General features: G+C 38.8%; 1 long non-coding RNA gene across 2 annotated transcripts in view, besides 1 other annotated feature; it reads left to right on the forward strand.

The window, feature by feature from the left end:
* LOC105369435 (uncharacterized) overlaps nt 1–16,389 on the forward strand; it is an 84,813-nt gene extending 68,424 nt beyond the window's left edge. For both annotated transcript variants that reach the window (XR_947901.3, XR_947903.3), the window contains exons 4-5: nt 11,125–11,277; nt 12,933–16,389. This is a non-coding gene — a long non-coding RNA (uncharacterized LOC105369435). The remainder of the gene's footprint in view (nt 1–11,124; nt 11,278–12,932) is intronic.
* Nucleotides 12,035–13,234: an enhancer, noted in NCBI's record as "CDK7 strongly-dependent group 2 enhancer chr11:94011033-94012232 (GRCh37/hg19 assembly coordinates)". NCBI's record gives its function as "activates an origin of replication core promoter dependent on BRD2, BRD4, P300/CBP, MED14 and CDK7 cofactors, with strong dependence on CDK7, by STARR-seq in HCT116 cells {active_cell/tissue: HCT116}" and the evidence as "EXISTENCE:reporter gene assay evidence [ECO:0000049][PMID:35650434]".
* Nucleotides 16,390–20,317: the final 3,928 nt, after the last annotated feature.

Raw genomic sequence — 20,317 nt, forward strand, 5'->3', positions numbered from 1 at the left:
GAAAATATCATAATTCTAAATATATATGCACCTAACACTGGAGGTCCCAAATTTATAAAACAATTACTGCTAGACCAAAGAGATGAGATAGACAGCAACATAATAATAGTGGGGACTTCAATACTCCACTGACAGCACTAGCTAGGTCATCAAGACAGAAAGTAAACAAGGAAACCATGGACTTAAATCATACCCTAGAACAAACGGTCCTAACAGATATTTACAGTGCATTCTACCCAATAACTGCAGAATATACGTTCTTTTCATCAGCACATGGAACATTCTCCAAGATAAACCATATGATAGGCCACAAAACAAGTCTCAATAAATTGAAGAAAATCTAAATTATATCAAGTACCCTCTCAGACCACAGTGGAATGAAACTGGAAATTAACTCCAAAAGAAACCCCCCAAACTATACAAATATATGGAAATTAAATAATCTGCTCCTCAGTAGTCTTTGGGTCAACAATGAAATCAAATGGAAATTTAAAATTTCTTTGAACTAAATGATAATAGTGACACAATCTATCAAAACCTCTGGAATAAAGCAAAAGCAGTGCTAAGAAGAAAGCTCATAGCGTTCAATGCCTATATCAGAAAGTCTGAAAGAGCACAAATAGACAATCTAATGTCACACATCAAGGAAGTAGAGAAACAAGAACAAACCAAACTCTAACCCACCAGAAGAAAAGAAATTACAAAGATCAGAACAGAATTATATGAAATTGAAATTTAAAAAAATACAAAAGACAAATGAAACAAAAAGCTAGTTCTTTGAAAATATAAACAAAATTGATAAACTATTAGTGAGATTAACCAAGAAAAGAAGAGAGAAGAACACCTAAATAAGCTCAATTAGAAATGAAATGGGAAATATTACAGCTGATACGTCGGAAATACAAAAGATCATTCAAGGCTACTATGAACACCATTACACACACACAAACTAGAAAATCTAGAGGAAATGGATAAATTCCTGGAAATATACAACCCTCCTAGATTAAATCAAGAAGAAATAGAAACTCTGGACAGACCAATAGCAAGTAGAGATATTGAAACAGTAATAAAATAATTGCCAATAAAAAAAGTCCAGGACCAGATGGATTCATAACTGAATTCTATCAGGCATTGAAAGAAGAACTGGTACCAATCTTACTGAAACTATTTCAAAGACAGAAAAAGAGGAAATCCTCCTTAAATCATTCTATGAAGCCAGTATCGTCCTAATTTGAAAACCAGAAAAAGACAATAAAAATAGAAAATTACAGACCAATATCAGTGAGGAACACAGATGCTCAATATTTTTTGAGAACAAAATCCTCAACAAAACTCTAGCTAATGAAATCCAACAGCATATCAAAAAAAGAACACACCATGATCGAGTAATTTCATACCAGGGATGAAGGGATGGTTTAACATACCCAAGTGAATAAATGTGACACAGCACGTAAACAGAATTAAAAACAAAAATCATATGATCTCAATAGATGCAGAAAAAGCATTTGACAAAATCCAGCATCCTTTTATGATCAAAACCTGCCGCAAAATTGGCATAGAAGGGACATACCTCAAGGTAATAAATCCCATCTATGACAAACCCACAGCCAACATTTCACTGAATGGAAAAAAAGTTGAAAGCATTCCTTCTGAGAACTGGAACAAGACAAGGATGCCCACTTTCACCACTGCTATTCCACATTATACTGGAAGTCCTAGCCATAACAATGAGACAAGAGAAAGAAATAAAGCACATCCAGATCAGTAAAGAAGAAGTCAAACTCTCACTGTTTACCAATGACATGATCATATACCTAGAAAACACTAAAGATTCATCCAAAAAGCTCACATCTGATAAGTGAATTTTGGTAAAGTTTCAAGATACAAAAGCAACGTACACAAATCAGTAGCAGTGCTATACACCAACAATGACCAAGCTGAGAATCAAATCAAAATCTCAACCCATTTTACAACAGCTCCATACACACACACACACACACACACACACACACACCACTTTAGGAATATACCTAACCAAGGAGGTGAAAGATCTCTACAAGGAAAACTACCAAACACTGCTTAAAGAAAACATAGATGACACAAACAAATGGAAACACATCCCATGCTGATGGATGGGTACAATCAATATTGTGAAAATGGGCATACTGCCAAAAGCAATCTACAAATTCAATGCAATTCCCATCAAAGTACCATCATCATTCTTCACAGAACTAGAAAAAACAATCCTAAAATGTATATGGAACCAAAAAAGAGCCCACATAACAGAAACAAGACTAAGCAAAAAGAACAAATCTGGAGGCATCACATTACCTGACCTCAAACTATGCCACAAGGCATGGTAGTGGTATAAAACAGCATGGTACTGGTATAAAAATAGACATGTAGCCCAGTGGAACAGAATAGAGAATCCAAAAATGAAGGCAAATGCTTACAACCAATTGATCTTCAACAAAGCAAACAAAAACATCAATTGGGGAAAGAAAACCCTCTTCAACAAATGGTGCTGGGATAATTGGCAAGCCACATGTTGGAGAATGAAGCAAGATATTTATCTCTCACCCTATACAAAAATCAACTCAAGATGGATCAAAGACTTAAATCTAAGACCTAAAACCAAAAACATTCTAGAAGACAACATTGGAAAAACTCTTCTAGACACTGGCTTAGGCAAAGAATTCCTGACCAAGAACCCAAAAGCAAATGCAAAAAATAATAATAAATAAATAAATAAATAGATGGGACCTAATTAAACGAAAAGGATTTTCTGCACAGTAAAGGAAACAATCAGCAGAGTAAACAGACAATCCACAGAGCAGGAGAAAATTTTCACAAACTATGCATCCAACAAAGGACTAATACCCAGACTCTACAAAGAACACAAACAAATAAGCAAGAAAAAAACATAAACATAATCCTATCAAAAAATGGGCAAAAGACGTAAATAGACAGTTCTCAAAAGGAGATATACAAATGGCCAATAAACATATGAAAAAGTGCTCAACATCACTAATTATCAGGCAAATGCAAATCGAAACCACAATGAGATACCAACTTACTCCTGCAAGAATGGCCATAATTTAAAAATAAAAAATAAACTCTCAGGATACAAAATCAATGTGCAAAATCACAAGCATTCCTATACACCAATAATAGACAAACAGCCAAATCATGAGTGAACTCCTATTCACAATTGCTACAAAAATAATAAAATACCTAGGAATACAACTTACAAGGGATGTGAAGGACCACTTCAAGAACTACAAACCACTGCTCAAGGAAACAAGAGAGGACACAAACAAATGGAAAAACATTCCATGTTCATGGATAGGAAGAATCAATATTGTGAAAATGGCCATACTGCCCAAAGGAATTTATAAATTCAATGCTATCCCTATCAAGCTACCACCGACTTTCTTCACAGAATTAGAAAAAACTATTTTAAATTTCATATGGAACCAAAAAACAGCCCACATAGCCAAGACAATCCTAAGCAAAAAGAACAAATAAGAACAAATCTGGAGGCATCACGCTACCTGACTTCAAACTATGCTACAAGGCCACAGTAACCAAAACAGCATGGTACTGGTACCAAAACAGATATATAGACCAATGGAACAGAACAGAGCCCTCAGAAATAATGCCACACATCTACAACCATCTGATCTTTCACAAACCTGACAAAAACAAGCAACAGGGAAAGAATTCCCCATTTAATAAGTGGTGTTGGGAAAACTGGCTAGCCATATGCAGAAATCTGAAACTGGACCCCTTCCTTACACTTTATGCAAAAATTAACTCAAGATGGATTAAAGACTTAAACATAAGACTCAAAACCATAAAAATCCTAGAAGAAAACCTAGCCAATACCATTCAGGACATAGGCATGGGCAAAGGCTTCATGACTAAAACACCAAAAGCAATGGCAACAAAAGCCAAAATTGACAAATGAGATCTAATTAAACTAAAGAGCTTCTGCACAGCAAAAGAAACTATTATCAGAGTGAACAGGCAGCCTACAGAATGGGAGAAAATTTTTGCAATCTATCCATCTTACAAAGGGCTAATATCCAGAATCTACAAGGAACTTAAACAAATGTACGAGAAAAAAACAACCCCATCAAAAAGTACATGAAGGATATGAACAGACACATCTCAGAAGAAGACATTTATGCAGCCAGCAAACATATGAAAAAAAGCTCATCATTACTGGTCATTAGAGACATGCAAATCAAAACCACAATGAGATACCATCTCACGCCAGTTAGAATGGCGATCACTCAAAAGTCAGGAAACAACAGATGCTGGAGAGGATGTGGAGAAATAGGAATGCTTTACACTGTTGGTGGGAGTGTAAATTAGTTCAACCATTGTGGAAGACAGTGTGGCAATTTCTGAAGGATCTAGAACCAGAAATACCATTTGACCCAGCAACCCCATTCCTGGGTAGATACTCTAAGGATTATAAATCATTCTACTATAAAGACATGCACACATATGTTTATTGCAGTACTATTCACAATAGCAAAGACTTGGAACCAACCCAAATGCCCATCAATGATAGACTTGATAAAGAAAACGTGGCACATATACACCATAGAATATTATGTAGCCATAAAAAAGGATGAGTTCATGTCCTTTGCAGGGACATGGAAGAAGCTGGAAACCATCATTCTCAGCAAACTAACACAGGAACAGAAAACCAAACACCACACGTTCTCATTCATAGTAGGAGTTGAACAATAAGAACACATGGACATGTGTGAGTGGAACATCACACACCATGGTCTGTCAGGGGGTGAGGGGCTGGGGAGGGATAGCATTAGGAGAAATACCTAATGTAGGTGATGGGTTGATGGGTGCAGCAAACCACCATGGCATGTGTATCACTGTGTAACAAACCTGCACGTTCTGCACATGTATCCCAGAACTTAAAGTATAATTAAAAAAACAAAAACAAACAAACAACAACAAAAAAACAGATGTTGGCATGCATGTGGTGAAAAAGGGAACACTTACACTGCTGGTGGGAGTGTAAACTAGTACAACCACTATGGAAAACAGTATGGAGATTCTTTAAAGGACTAAAAGTAGAACTACAATTTGATCCAGCAATCCCACTACTGGGTATCTACCCCGAGGAAAAGAAGTCATTATATGAAGAAGACCCTTGCCCAGGCATGTTTCACAACTGCAAAATTCATAACTGCAATTCACAACTGCAAAAATATGGAACCAACCTAAATGCCAATCAATTAACAAGTGGATAAGGAAAATGTGGTACGTATATACCCATACATACATACCATGGAATACTACTCAGTTGTAAAAAGTAATGAAATAATGGAATTCACAGCAACCTGGATGGAGTTGGAGACCATTATTCTAAGTGAAGTCACGAAGATTGTCAGGCCACAATAAGGGGGTCAGTTAATGTGAAATCTCCTGATATTTTTGTAGTAGTATCAGCCTGAATGTATAATTCTGCATCTCTATTTGTACCTTTAGCCTAGTGCTCTAGACTAGTATTATCCAGTACAAATATAATGTGAGCCACAAAGGTGAACCACATATGTAATTTTAAATTTTCTAATAGCCACATTAAAAAAGTAAAAGAAGAAACAGATAAGATTAATTTTATTTATTTATTTGTTTTAGAGATAGGGCCTTGCTCTTTTGCCCAAGCTGGAGTGCAGTGGTGTGATCATAGTTCACTGCAGCCTCAAACTCCTGGGCTCAAGTGATCCTCCTGTCTCAGCCTCCCAACTCACTGAGATTACAGGCAGGAGCCACCATGCCCCACTGAAATTAATTCTAATATATTTCATTTAATCTAATATATCCAAATTATATCAACATATAATTAATATAAAAATTATTATTTTATCTTTTTCATACTAAATCTTTGAAATCAAGTGTGTATTTTACACTTACAGAGCATCTCAATTCAGAGGAGTCACATTTCACATTCTTAGTAGCTGCCTACAGATAGTGGCTATGGTTTTGAAAATGTATCTCTAGGCAATACTTTCTTGTTTTTTAAGAAACTAGGTCTTGCTCTGTCATTCAGGCTGAAGTGCAGTAGTGCAATCATAGCTTACAGGCAGGGGCAACCACGTGCAGCCTGACAATATTTTTTCCCCCATCTAACAGCAATGCGGTTCAGAGAACATTTTCTTAGTTTCGTGGTAAGGAGATTAGGTCAAACCAGAATTGGAAGTCAGGCTGTATCATGTCTGAGGATACTCATTTCACATATCAGTGAAATGAGTATGGCCTCATTTCACTGAGGCCATACTGCTATATAATTAAACATGACTGATACGATGAGACATAATAAATATTTCAGGTTGCCAGGTGAACTGAAAGAATTATAGGAACTGAAAGATAGAATGTTAGTCAAATACAACAAAATGTGAGTCACACACATAGAAGTTCAGTGAAAGATCTTGTAAATGGAGGCAGGTTAAGCCCCTTGCTCCTTTGAAAGTCTTGTTTTGATTTCTTTGCTTCTTTTAAAAATTCTTCATAATTCCCCTGGAAACTAAAGGATGTGAACATTAATGAAACTGATACATATAATTTCATTTCCTACAAAATACATATTTTTAGATGTTAGCACTTTGAAAGGGAACATCAGGATGCTAAACCATGACCTATAAATAACAGGCTATATTTTAAAATATAAAACAAACTGATCACAGCTTTTGAGAGGTTTCATCTTCCTGAATCTCCAATTATCTTCTGGTTCTGTTTCTAAGAGAGTCTTCAAAAGGAAAAAATAATAGCCTCAGGCAAGCATGTATCTATGGAGATAAACAGGCTCATATACATATCAGTCAAGGTACATACTTGTTTTGGGTATTTATTCCTGTATGTTGAACTCTGAAACTTAATGGCTTAAAAAATACCACCATTCTAGTTATCTGCTCGTGATTCTGAAATTTGAGCAGAGCTTAGTGGAGTGAACTCATCTCTGCCCTACATCGATTGCATCGACTGGCATGGCTCAATGGGGGCTGGAAGATCAAATCCCAAGAAGTTCTCACTCACATGGCAGGCAGTTGTTGCTGTTTGTTGACGAGGAACACAGCTGTGTCTGTTGACCAGCAGAGCTAAGAATGATAGGAACTGAAAGATAGAATGTTAGTCTATCTTAATGTTAGGCTCTCTAAGGACAGCCTTAGTTGTCTGTATGGCCTTTTCACATGACTGGGTTGGACTTTTCACAGGATGTTCAGATTTCTTGAATAACAGCTGGCTTCCCTCAGAGCCTGAGCACCGAAGTAGAGCTGCTGGCCTTTGTTAAGGGTTAGTCCTAGACTTTCAGAGTATCACAGTCTCAGCATTTTATTGCTTAAAGCAGGTCACAGGGCCAGGCCACGTGCAAAGGGAAAAACTTCACAAGAGCATGAATACTGGGAAGTGTGGTTCACTGAGATATAATAGCATCCACATTAGTAAACTCATTAATACAGCCCACTTCTCCTCTCAATAGATATTCTCACCTTTAAACCTCTGTTACCCTATTAGAATCAATAATTCTCTATACTGATGACAACCATGTTAGTATTTCAGCCTGTGGTTCCTGGCCAATACCCAAATTCTTATAAAAAGAGTTTCTTGGATACCTTTGTCTGAATATCTTGCTGATACCACTCACTCAACATTTGCAAACTGAGCTCCTGAATTCTTTTTTCTTTTTTTTGAAAAGGGTCTCATTCTGTCACCCAAGCTGGAGGGCAATGGCATGATCATGGCTCACTGCAGCCTCAAACTCCTGGGCTCAAGCAATCATCTCATCTCAGCTTCCCTAGGAGCTGGGACTACAGGCTCACATAACCATGCCCAGTTAATTTTTTTTATTCTTTGTAGAGATGGGATCTTGCTATGTTGCTTAGGCTGGTCTCGAACTCCTGGCCTTAAGTGATCCTCCTGCCTCAGCCTCCCAAAGTGTTGGGATTACATATTAATTGCCTTCTCTCTGTAGTATAGAAGAAACATACGTCATCTGTTTCCTTCTACTCTGAGCTTCCTTGGAGTTGGTGTGGTGCAGCCTGGGCTTTCAAAACAGACTTAGGCTGGAATTCCAACCGCGTCATTTTCTAGCTGTGCATCCTGGAAAAGTTACTTAATGTCCCTGTGGTTCAATTTTTTAAAAATTGACAACTTAAGAATATTAACACAATTACCTTCCTGGGTTGTAGTAAAAATTAAATAAGATACATAAAGTGTCCAATTCAACATTTGGCACATTGTACAGAAACCTATTCATTTTTGTTTTCCAGTGCAGTAGACTTAGGGTTGAGTGAATGTATCATTACCCTTCTTTGGAAAATCCTGGGAGTGCAAGATTCAGTTGTTTTCCATAACCGTTAGGCAGACCCAAAGTGTCTTGCCCCTAGATATGCATCTTTGAGTATGTTTTTCAGGCAGATCCTCCCTTCTTTCTGCTTACGTGATAAGCATGCTACAAGCGACTGGCATTCCCTGGCTCCTGCTGCATCTTTTCTGAGTTGCCATGCTTCCTAACTATGTGCAGGAGACACAGGCACACGGCCAATGCCCATTAAGTCATTATTAAGGCTGAGTCTCTATCTAGCTCCGTGGCTAGCTCTCCAGCATTGCTTCATATTTCCTCACCAAGCCAGCAAAGCCTGCACCCCAAAACCTCAATCCTAGTTGCTGACTCTCTGACCTCACCCCATGTGGGCACCCCCTCTCTCCTTCTGCTGCTGGAGGAACTTCCAAATATGATACCATGTGGGCACCCCCTGTTTCCTTCTGCTGCTGGAGAAACTTCCAAATGTGATACCAACCAAGTCTGCAGGACCATTCCAGCCTCTTCCTGGAGATCAGCATTCCAGATTCGAAAAGGCCCAAACTCCACAGCAAAGTCTGTGGGAACTTGCTTTTTCCTCTTTTTCTGCTGCCCTACATTTTTCTATCTTTTAGAATTCACAGGGGTTCAAAAACATACATTAGATTAACAATACTGATAGTTTAAACACAGCATAGTGGTTGAGAAGATAGGCTTTAAATTTGGATAAAGCTAGACTTGAATTTAATACCACAATTTACCACTTGTGTAATGTTGGCTACTTACTTAAATCTATTTTTCTATCTAAAGATGAGAATGATAGTATTCTATAACACAGAGTTTGCATCATTTGGTTCCAAGTAAAGCAATATGACTTCAGTGGCTTAAACAGAAAGAAGTATAGTTTCTCTCACTTAACGAGAGCTCTGCAAATGGTGGCTAACTGTGTTGAATTAGTACCTCAATGCTATCTCCCAGTTCTTTTGACCTTTGCCTCATTCTTATTGCCTCATGTTTGCAGAATGGCTGATGTAGCTCCAGATATCACATTTATATTCAAAGAAACCATATCTTTCCTTTTATCAAGAAGATAGAAGGATTCTCTGTGGTCTCTGTACTAGACTTCCTGTTAGCCAGAAACAGGGCATATGACAATTCTTTAGAAAAGAGCTGGGAGATTGGGGAATTGTTATCATTATTGGTTTAGACCAACCAGAATTCATATCCTGGGTTGGGAACATTGCAGCTCAGAAAAAAAAAATCAGGCTTTTGTTACCAAGTAAGAGGTAGGTTATGGCTAAATTGTGGGTAACCAATAGGGGTTTGGTTTGACACAGGGTTGTAGTATTAAATTTAATAATATTTGTAAAGTTCTTAGTATAGTGCTGGACTTTTACATAGTGTTTAATAAACTGTGGCCATTATTATAAATAAAATTGCCAAATTGGTTGGCCATGCTCTAGATCTAGTTATTTTTAAATACAGTATTTATAAAATTATAAAATTCATGAAACTCAGCTCTACTGATTTCTTGGAGAGTGCACTGCATCCTCGTTAGCTCAGATTTTGCTTTCTTTTTTTCTTTCGTGGCACAAATATTCATTCAGTACCAACTTTGTGCCAGGTGTAAGCACAGGTACAAGTCTAGCCTTCTCCCTGACACTATGGGATCCCCAGGCCTCAAAATTTAATTTCTATGCCATTTATGCCCATGTTTCTCATGCTGGAGCCTCAGGCCCAAGCCTCTGCAGATCCATGGTGCTTCCTCTTTTTCCACAAAATCAGAAACCAAAAGGATGGTTCTTAACTTGGTTAAGCATAGCACGATAAACTATTGTCAAGCTCACAACTTCACTTTGAGGTTTTGCGATCACCTAAATGTAAATTCAAATGAAGCAGACATCAGCAAAGGTACTAGGGAACTCTTTACAAAGCTCACACTTCTCAGGGATACCAATTCAAAAGCTCTCCAGATTCTGCCATCTCATCATTACTCTCATTAGACATTTGCTGATTACGGGCTATGAGTCAGCTGACCTTCCTGTGTTGAACCCAAGAACACTTTACATTTGTAGGGCTATTTCAAAGCCAGTCCTCATTTTTAGAAGCACTGAGGTCCTCAAGGCAGGTTGCATTATCCTGAATTTATTAATAAAGGTACTAGGACCCATAAAGGGGTCTGTTCACAGTGCCAGGAAATTTGTACACATTCTCTCATTTAATCCTCACACACTGACAGTTAGGTAATACTATTGCTAATTTACAGATGAGAAGTCTGAGGCCCAGAGAGAGTAAATTACCTGAGGTCACACAGATAGTCAATGGCAAAGCCACAGCTGGAACTAAAGCCTTCAATTTTCAATCCCCCATACTTCCCCCTGTGCCATACAGTGCCTCACTACATGCATTCTTTGGAATACATATCTATGATGAACCCTTTTATGTGGTCTGAGTAAAAGTTTTATAGAGAAAAATGTAATTCAAGCTATAGTTGTTTGTGGATTTAAATTGCCTATATTTTCTATCATTGCACTTATAGAAATTACAGAATTCCATATCTACTATACCTATGCTACAATTCTATTTTCTTTTTTTTCTTTCTTCCTGACAACTCACACCCTCTCCACTGCCACCAGCATCATTTTTTGCTTCTTTTTGCTACAGGAGAGGAAGTTATTAAAGGGTAACATTAAAACAAGCTTAACAACCTTATTGCAAGGAATCACTAAAGCAATATTAGCGTTAGTCCTAAGGGCTGATTACCTTATCTCAACTTTCTCCCCAAGGAGAGACAAATACCAAGGAGATATCAGGAAGAATATTGTCCCCAGTAAATACCAAGTCACATCAGGAAGAATATTGTGGAGAGAGAGGTAAAGAATCAGGATGGAAACAGAAAATAGGCCGAACAATGGCCAAGCGTCAAAATCCTACGTCAGGTAATTATTAGGGGGAAGTGAAACAAAACACATCCTGAAATGGAGATGAGACAGGCTCCTGCTTCCCTTCACCTTGTCTTTGATATAGAGATTGAAAAACAAGAGTGTGACCTCTCTCGGAGCTCCGGAGGCCCTCTGCTTGGGATGTCCTAGAGGATCCTCTGCCCAGTGTAGGGTAGAGGGAGGGATGATAAATAATTGACCATTTACTAAAGTTCCAGGCACTTAATAAGAGTTAATTTACAGAATCCTTAAATAATTCTTCAAGGCTAGTATAATTGACCAAATATTACAGATGAAGAAACTGAGGCTCATAGAGGTCTAATAGTTTGCTCAATACTATAAGTGGTGGAAGTGATATTCAAACCCAGATTCAGCCTAAGACAGCTCTCCAAATAGCTGTAATTTATTGCCTCATTTGTGCAATTGATCTTTGGATCTAAGGATAGGACTTTACATTGATCCCTCTTATGCTGTGGGAGTCAGTGTGTCAAAGTAACTTTGACTGGGCTTGTCAGTCACGTAGGTAACTCTACATACTAGATTTTCATCATTGAAAAATTTTGTATAAATAAAAATAAATGCCATTAAATTAACACAACAGTGAAGCACTCAACAGTTGACATAGCACTTTGATATATAGTTATTGACAACTCCTCTTTTTTCACACCTTGTGCTAAGTTATCACTTCGTCTTTGGCAGCTGAAAGAAATAAGATACTTAAGTATAGCCATAGGTTGTTACAATTGCTACAATTTGAATTCACTCTGTTCTATGCTCAACTGCATTGTTACTGTCTACCTCGATCTGACCAAATTGCAAGCATTGCCCCTTTCCACTTCCAGTGCATTAGGAAAACTTAAAGGAAGCCCCTGTATCAGGTCACTCTGATAGATTCTGAAATTATATCCTGTACACTGTCTCATCCCACTAGAAAATTGTGCATCATGTCACTGCCATGTTAGAAAAATGGGGCTTACCTGAGTCAATACACAAGAGAAATATCCAGCAGATATGCTAACACTCTACAGCCTCACATGGAAATTCTCTCCCTTTTGAAACCTTAGTCCAAGGGTTCTTGCCAGAAAATTCAGGCCTGCTACCCATGAATATCCTAGTCTTCCTGTGACTATGAGTGTCCTCCAGTCTTTCTGAAAAGCAGAGCCACAAGGCCCTGTGAGAAAACATTTTAAATGGTCAATTTTCAAGGCATGATAAATCTAAGTACTGGCAGCCAGCCTGCAGATGTAACAAACAGCATGCATGCATCTAGAAGGTCACGATATGTAAACAGAATGTAGAGGAGGGGTCAGCCCATAAAAGGGAAGAAAGTTTCGTTATTGGGAAATCAAAGCTTAAGCAGGAAGGGGACCAGGGTATAACCTTATAAGGGGGATGATTAAACTTAGGCGACGTCCAGGAAGATTGTAACCCCATAGTACTTGACCAATGAGGAACTGGGGGAGGGATTTGCATGCTAGGAGGTAAATTACCTGCTGTAACTGCCCAGGGTGTACCTGTCTACCAGACACCCGATCTTGCAAGACCCCCATCAAAAGTCTCACTTCGGCTACTCTTCATGTCTCGGAGTCCATTCTTTGGGTTTGGATGGGTGAATATGTGTTTCTCACAGCACTGTCTTTGTTTCTTCCCAGGACAGTGCTAGGACTGCTTTTTTCTATATCAGACACGTGGGCTCCTGCTGTGTCTTCCTGGAAAGCAGAGGCCAAGGATGGAGCAGACCAAGAGGATGCCAGGAAAAATCACAAAGAAGCCCAGAAAGCACAGCTGGAAGCCAAGAACCCTATTTTTGGTTTGTGTGGGTGGAAGGTGAGGGACAACATATAGTGACCAACAGGATTCTTCATTTGAAAGAGAATGGAGTACATCAGACCTGTGTATTTAGGTGAAGTATGATAAACATCATCATACTTCAAAGATTATGAACATCAAAGATTATGGAAAGGAACATGACTGCTTAGTTTATTCCATTACCAGTGATCTGCTTGTTTGTTCATTTGCTTACCCATCCATTCATTTATTCATTCATTCCTCCATCCATTCTCTTTCACTTATTCTACAATCATGATTGTATGCCTACCATATCGCTAGAGAGAGGGCAGGAAAAGATCCAAGGATGTGAATACAATCTTCTGCTTCATGATGAGAGCTAAAGGAATCTGTAAAGACTTTGTCTTTTTCATTTTTCTCTCTCCTACATAGACCCTGGAAAATGTTTTATTTCTTATAATTTGCCTGAGGTTTACTCATCCACTACCAGAGCTCTGAAAACACTCTTCAGAACACTATTTTAAAATAATGACAATGACAATAATAGATAACATATATTCAGTGTTTTTTGTATGTGAAGCAATGTAATAACCATTTAAAATGATTGTAACTATACTTTATAAGAGTATGATGAAACAGGCACTATTAAAATGCTAGTTTTTCACACAGCTAATATGAGAGAGAGCTGGGATTTGGAGCCTCCATTCATGGCCATTATATGGTCTGTCTAATGAATGAAATGTTTGACCTTAGAGAAAACTTGAAATGCATAGTTTTCTTTGCTGACTTGAATGATATAAGTTTAAAAATCCGATAGTGGTTGCTAGTTGAAAATTCCTATTCCTTGGGAAACTGTTGAAAGTCTGTTTAGTACTAACCCCCCTCATTAATGGCCATTTGCAAAGCCAGGCCAAGTTTAGTCTTCTACCAGCACTGAAGAAACACATTTTTACCCAGAAGAAATGAGGGTGAAATCCTCTGATAACTGGAAGATGCTGGATGTTCTGGAAAGAAAAGTAATTTTTTTTTCAATCTCTGGAAATTGCTTTTTTTGTTTTAAGTAAGGGTGGCTCAGTAGATGCTAACAGAGAAGCTGGGATCAGCTAATCTGGAGAAGATTCTGAGAGAATGAGTTGGGGAAGCTCACACTGAGAAAATGAGAAGATTGGTAGGAAGGGCGGTTTCTTGCTGTGTCCAAGAACAGGAATTGAGAAATGGTATTAAGCTGAAGGTGAGAGGGGAACAAAGAAGACTTTGAAAGTTGCATACAGGTTTGAAACAAAGTATACCACAAGGAATGGGAACATGTAGAGCTGTTTTAAAAATGTTTCTGTGTTTGTGTGAGTGTGTGTACTAGATATATTTTTAAAATGACTTTTCTCGGAATTACATCATACTTTGAAGATCAGCATAGGAAGTGAAGAAGGAACAAATATTCACTGAGAGCATTCACTAAGGGCCAGGAGCTCCCTGAATACCACATATGCCACCGCTCTCTCTTGTGATCCTGAAGGTCTGTGAGGCAGTTATCACTATGTATGGTATATTTTCAAAGAAAGCAAATAAAACCCAATGTGACTAAGAAAGATGCTAAAGTCATACAGCTAATTAGCTGTGGGTCCAGGATTCAAACCAGTGCACCCAGCACATGGTCTTCAATAAATATTTATTGAGCAGTGAATACATGAATGAGTAAATAAGATGAAGCAAGCAAGCAAGCAGGTAGGCTTGTCTAACCCAAGTGTTCATGTTCTATCCTCTGTACTGGTGGTTTTTAAATTGTGTGCCACAAAGGCCTTGGGTAACATGAGGAGGGTTAGTATGAGTGGCTGTCTAGCAGCATGGGGCCCCAGGCTCCCTATCTCTACTCCAACCAGGGCATCTCTGCTTCTGTTTGTGTTAAACATTGGGCTTTTGCCTGAGGTTTCATTTGAAGAAGAGGGCCTTCTTCTAGAAAGTGTTTATTACTCCTGCCCCATGCCGTGTTCCCTCCTAAGTATGCATTATGAACTAGTTAAGTTTAATAAAGACATATATTACTGTAAAGTTGGAATTTATACCAGTGTCTGAATTCCAGTAGCAGCCCCCATATCTTGGTAATCGAAAGCCAACTGTTTCTAATATCCGGCATGCTGCTGAGGCCATTAACAATAGATGAGCCATCTAGGGCATTATGGCTAGCAGCCGGGACTACAACTTCAAGCTGTCTAGGTTCAACTGTGGCTCTGCCATGACCTGGTGAAATCTCAGGTAAATGATTCGACCTCTCCACACTTTAGCTTCCTCATCCATGAAATGTGATAGCTACCTTATACAGCATGGAAACTTTGTGCTCCAGTAATATGAATGGGCTCACTATAGCCAAGTGCACTTAGTTCCCTTGATCTCACGTTTTTGTTTATGCTGGCTCCCAACTTAATGTGGTCTTCTCACTTTTCATCTGACTGTGAAAACTCCAACCAAAGGTACTTATATTCCTCCCACTCAATAAATATGATGGCCTTGGTGTCAGTAAGGCGACATGTGAAGAGAGATATCAGTCTGGCTTGCCATACATTACAAGAATTTGCAGGCTTACCCTGACAGTCCTAGTCCATGGGAGTGGGTGATGGGGTACTATTGTGTCACTGTCCGGGGTCCTGAATAATTAAAGAGTGCACAGTGGCTTTTACAAGAATACTAAGAATTATTTATTTGTTAAGGTAACACTATCTGCTGTAGTAGGTAACCCTCTCTACCCCCAAATCTGAGTAGCTTACCATATTAGAAGTCTTTTCCTGTTCTCATAGGGTTCCATTGGTGCTGGGGGTGAGGAGGGGAGGTGGTAAAGGGGTTTGTTCCACACAACCATTCAGAGATTCATATTGATGAAGACGGCCATCTTCAACATATAGTTTCCAGAGTTGTTCTGGGCTCAGTATTTAGACTCCAGGTGGTATATCAGAGGAGAGAAGGAGAGTAGAGAACTGTGTGGCAGATTTTTATGAACCAGATCTAGAAGGGACATTCATCACTGTCACTGGGATGCTGTTAATTAAAACTCGAGCATACAACCATTCCTAAGAATAAAAGAGGCAGTGGGATGTTGCTTATTTGTGAGTTCATTGGAAAATCACTAGCTTGTTTTTGCCACAAAATATTTTTTATGTTGTTACCCAATACCCCCCCCCACTGAGACACACACACACACTCAACACAAATACAACTAGAGCAAAAAATTCATTAAATAATCCTCTGTGTGTGATATAGTCTCATAGTTTCTATTCTATTTTATTGTTTTAAAGTGCTGTCATGACCCATTAAACTGTTATTATGGCTGAATGAGTTTTGACTTATTGTTTGGAAAACACTGCCCTAAGGTATAACTGTTTCTCGTAATCTTAGACAGTGAGATATTGCTAATGAGGAGGAAAACTTCTCTTTTAAAATCATTTTCAAATAATTGCCATTTCTAATAAATAATTCGTAATCATCCGTGGGTAGAATATTAAAATAAAGTTGTTAAGAAATGGAATATTAATTAATAGAAAACCAGGAAGACTTCAGTCCAATATGGACAAGCAAGATCTGCTGGCAAACGAGGAAAATTGTGTAGGGATTTGAGACAGGCCAAATAAATAGCATTACTTTTTTCCCATCTGAGTTTGGAACCACTGAGAAATAGAGAAGAAAAAGCAGATGGGCATTCAAATACTGGCTTTATTACTGATAAAGTTAATAATGAAAAATATGGCTTCCTAATCCTAAACCTCAAACAGAGCTTACCTGCCCAGCCACAGGCAGTGCTAAGCAACTTCAGGCCTCCTGATTGCAGCCTGCCCCTGAAAAACTTACAGTATGAAGGAGCAAACAGGAATGATGAGTAGACCCCCCAAAATAAGAGGCCAGTACTGACCACACTTTGACAGCCCCTCATCCCATAATCACAATTTAGATCACTCCTCCTCCCCCTAAGGAGTTTGAATGCGAGGGTGGGGAAGTGTGACGGATGCCTCTCACAAGAAGCCAAGGGAGAGAAAGCTCTCCCCCATAAACACCACCAGGCAGAGATGGCATGACAGCAATGTCATTATCAAATGAAGCCTATCAAAGTGCTATTCACTTTTCTCTGCTATTTTCTAGAAAGACAATACATTTGCAATTTTTAGACCATCTTAAGCAAATGGAACAATGATTTTTCAAAACTCACATATCTGATTCCATAGGCTTTTGTGGTTCTATGCTATTTCCGAGAATGGGACATGTCATTCCTTCAGGAAGATAAGTAGCGTACATGCCACATTCCCTCCCCTAACCCAGGTGCTGTATTTATGCCTTTCTGTTTTAGTTATGGTTTAGGATTTTTAGTTTAGGGTTTCTCATAATCTACTGGCTTACAATGATATCTCACAGCTTCTACTAACCCAAGCAATTCTTACGTTGGTATCTGTGGGCATCGAGTTTCTTCTTATCTAACTCTGCCTCTTAATGTTCCCAGCACAGCGTTTTGTACATAATAGATTCTGGAACAGTCTTCCCTCAGATCATCACAGAACAGGGTTCCTCTCATGATTAAGCTCAAATATCACCTCCCCAGAGAGTCCTTTCTTGACCACCCAAATGGAAGTAGCTGCAACCCCCAAAATTATGGCATCAATACTTTTATATGCTCATAGCATATCATAATCTTTTTTCTTTTTACTTATTTGCTTGTTTATTTTCTGGCTCTTCCCACTAGAATATACATGCAATAGGAGCAGGTACTTTGCCTGTTAATCCCCCTCTTTTACTCTCAGTGCCTACAGCAATACCTGGCTCATGGATAAAATTTATACAATTTTAAAATGAATGAATAAATGCATAATAAAATTGAAATTGGCATTTCCCCAACTTTTACCCCCTTCTGGATAGAGAGGGAATGTTAGGTGAGGACTCATGAGAGGCTAGTTAGACAGAGGGAGAGAAGAAAAACTTGGCAAATGCTGGGTGTTTGCCTCAAAAATCTCTGTTAGTTTTGGCAGCTACTCAAAGAAAGACACAGCACAGTGGCCCTGCAGCACTTGACTTTTCTGTAATAGCTCTTCAGTAATAAGAAGAAAACAACATGCTTGTTATTTAGCAGGCAATTCTTTAGGTCAGAGAGAAACAACCCTACATCATTCTTATTCCAAAAAGACCTGGCTGGGCAGGAGAGGAGGCCCCAAGGTCTGTGGGGCTCTGAAAAGCTACCCTTTTCAAGCGATTTTGCCTAAAATATTTAGCAGGCAATTATTTAGGTCAGAGAGAATCAACCCTACATCATTCTTATTCCAAAAAGACCTGGCTGGGCAGGAGAAGAGGCCCCAAGGTCTGTGGGGTTCTGACAAGCTGCCCTTTTCAAGCAATTTTGCCTGATTCAGCATAGGGAGTCCAGTTTATAAAGTTGATGAATGAGGTTTGTTTAAAAAAAGAGTCATGCCCTTATCTATATAGCAGGGAAGCCCATTCCCAGTAGACCTGAATTCAGCTTATAAGCTTGCCTGGGCTAGCTTATGTGGCAAGTGATGCAGAAAGAGCTTCAGTGATGGAATATTTGCCACCTCTCCCACACCTCCACCCACTGGGTAAAGTTCTGTTCTGCTGGTTGACCCTGGGACATTATTATTCAGATTAGGATGATGAATAGTGAGAATGACAAGAGAAACTGGATGGACATAATGTATTTACCTCTAAGCTTGCAGAGAGTTATAGGAAAAGGGATAAACAACAACAACCAAAAAATAAAATAAAATAAAATAAAATTTAAAAACCCTGTACAGGTTGTGTTTATGAGTTTGGGAGACTTCAGAATGAGGAAGGAGAGAAAGTAAAAGAGAAGATGCCATACAGGTTAGAGAGAAAAGGCAAGTTTATAACTTGTTTTCTAAACATTTGTTTCATCAAGATATTGCATAAAGTTTAAACTATTTTAATTCATTTTGGGATTACAGACTCTTGTTTCCTTAAGTGTGACCCCAAGTCAAAAGGAAGCAGTTGAGATACAAAAAAAAATGCTGCAGAGTAAGAAGGATTGCCTGGGATTTTCTCCAGGACAGAGTTCGTGATACTATTCTTTTTTTTTTTTTTTTAATTTTTGAGACGGAGTCTCACTCTGTCGCCCAGGCTGGAGTGCAGTGGCGCAATCTCAGCTCACTGCAAGCTCCGCCTCCCGGCTTCACACCATTCTCCTGCCTCAGCCTCCTGAGTAGCTGGGACTACAGGCGCCCGCCACCGCACCCGGCTAATTTTTTGTATTTTTAGTAGAAACGGGCTTTCACCGTGGTCTCGATCTCCTGACCTCGTGATCCGTCCGCCTTGGCCTCCCAAAGTGCTGGGATTACAGGCTTGAGCCACCGCGCCCGGCCCCATGATACTATTCTTAATAAATTGTTGTTAAATGAAATCTTATTCTAGCTGGAAATTATTATATTTTGAGCACAGATGATCTCCATCTCTTTCTCTTCATTTGAAGTTTCTTGATGTCTTAGTTCTAGAGACAAAATGTTTTGGCCAACGGCAGTCTTGCTACTTAGAGATCCAAGTGACCTTCAAGCTGGGCCACTTATGATACAACTTAAAGCAATTTCTTATTTCATTTTTGCCAATGATAGCTTGTACTCCAAATTTCATGAAAGGAGGCGATGATACTACTAGAAATTTTTTTTTAAAGCAGAGAAAGTTTGTATGTTAAGAATCCTTGCATGCAAATGGCAGAAATCCAACTCGAAATAGAGTGGGTAGAAAAGGCAATGTATTTGACCGTATTGAGTATCCCATGAAAGAGTGGGGAAAATCAACGGTACTTCTAGTTTTGGAAGACTAAAACCAGGGAATAAAATTCTGTCAGAACCTCTCCTTCCCGTCTCATATCAGTGCCTTTTTTTTCTGCACATCAGCTCTACTCTTTCTCATTTCATCCTCCCTCATTAGAAATTGAATTTATCTACATGACAGAAAATATGAGCATAGTTTTAGCTATCGCAGACAGACTGTCTCAGTCAGTTTGGGCTGCTATAAAAGAATACTATAGACGAGGGGGATCCAACAACAGAAATTTATTCCTCACAGTTCTAGAGGCTGAGAAGGCTAAGATCAGGGTGCCAGCATGATCAGGTCCTGATGAGAGCCTGATTTGCAGATGGCCATCTCCTCTTGTGATCACATTTCAAAGAAGAACAGAAAAGAGAGAGCAAGCTCTCATGTCTTTTTTTCTTTCTTTTTTTTTTCTTGATGGAGTCTCACTCCATCACCC

The sequence above is a fragment of the Homo sapiens genome, chromosome 11, assembly GCF_000001405.40.
Source record: "Homo sapiens chromosome 11, GRCh38.p14 Primary Assembly".
In the NCBI taxonomy this organism is placed as follows: domain Eukaryota; kingdom Metazoa; phylum Chordata; class Mammalia; order Primates; family Hominidae; genus Homo; species Homo sapiens.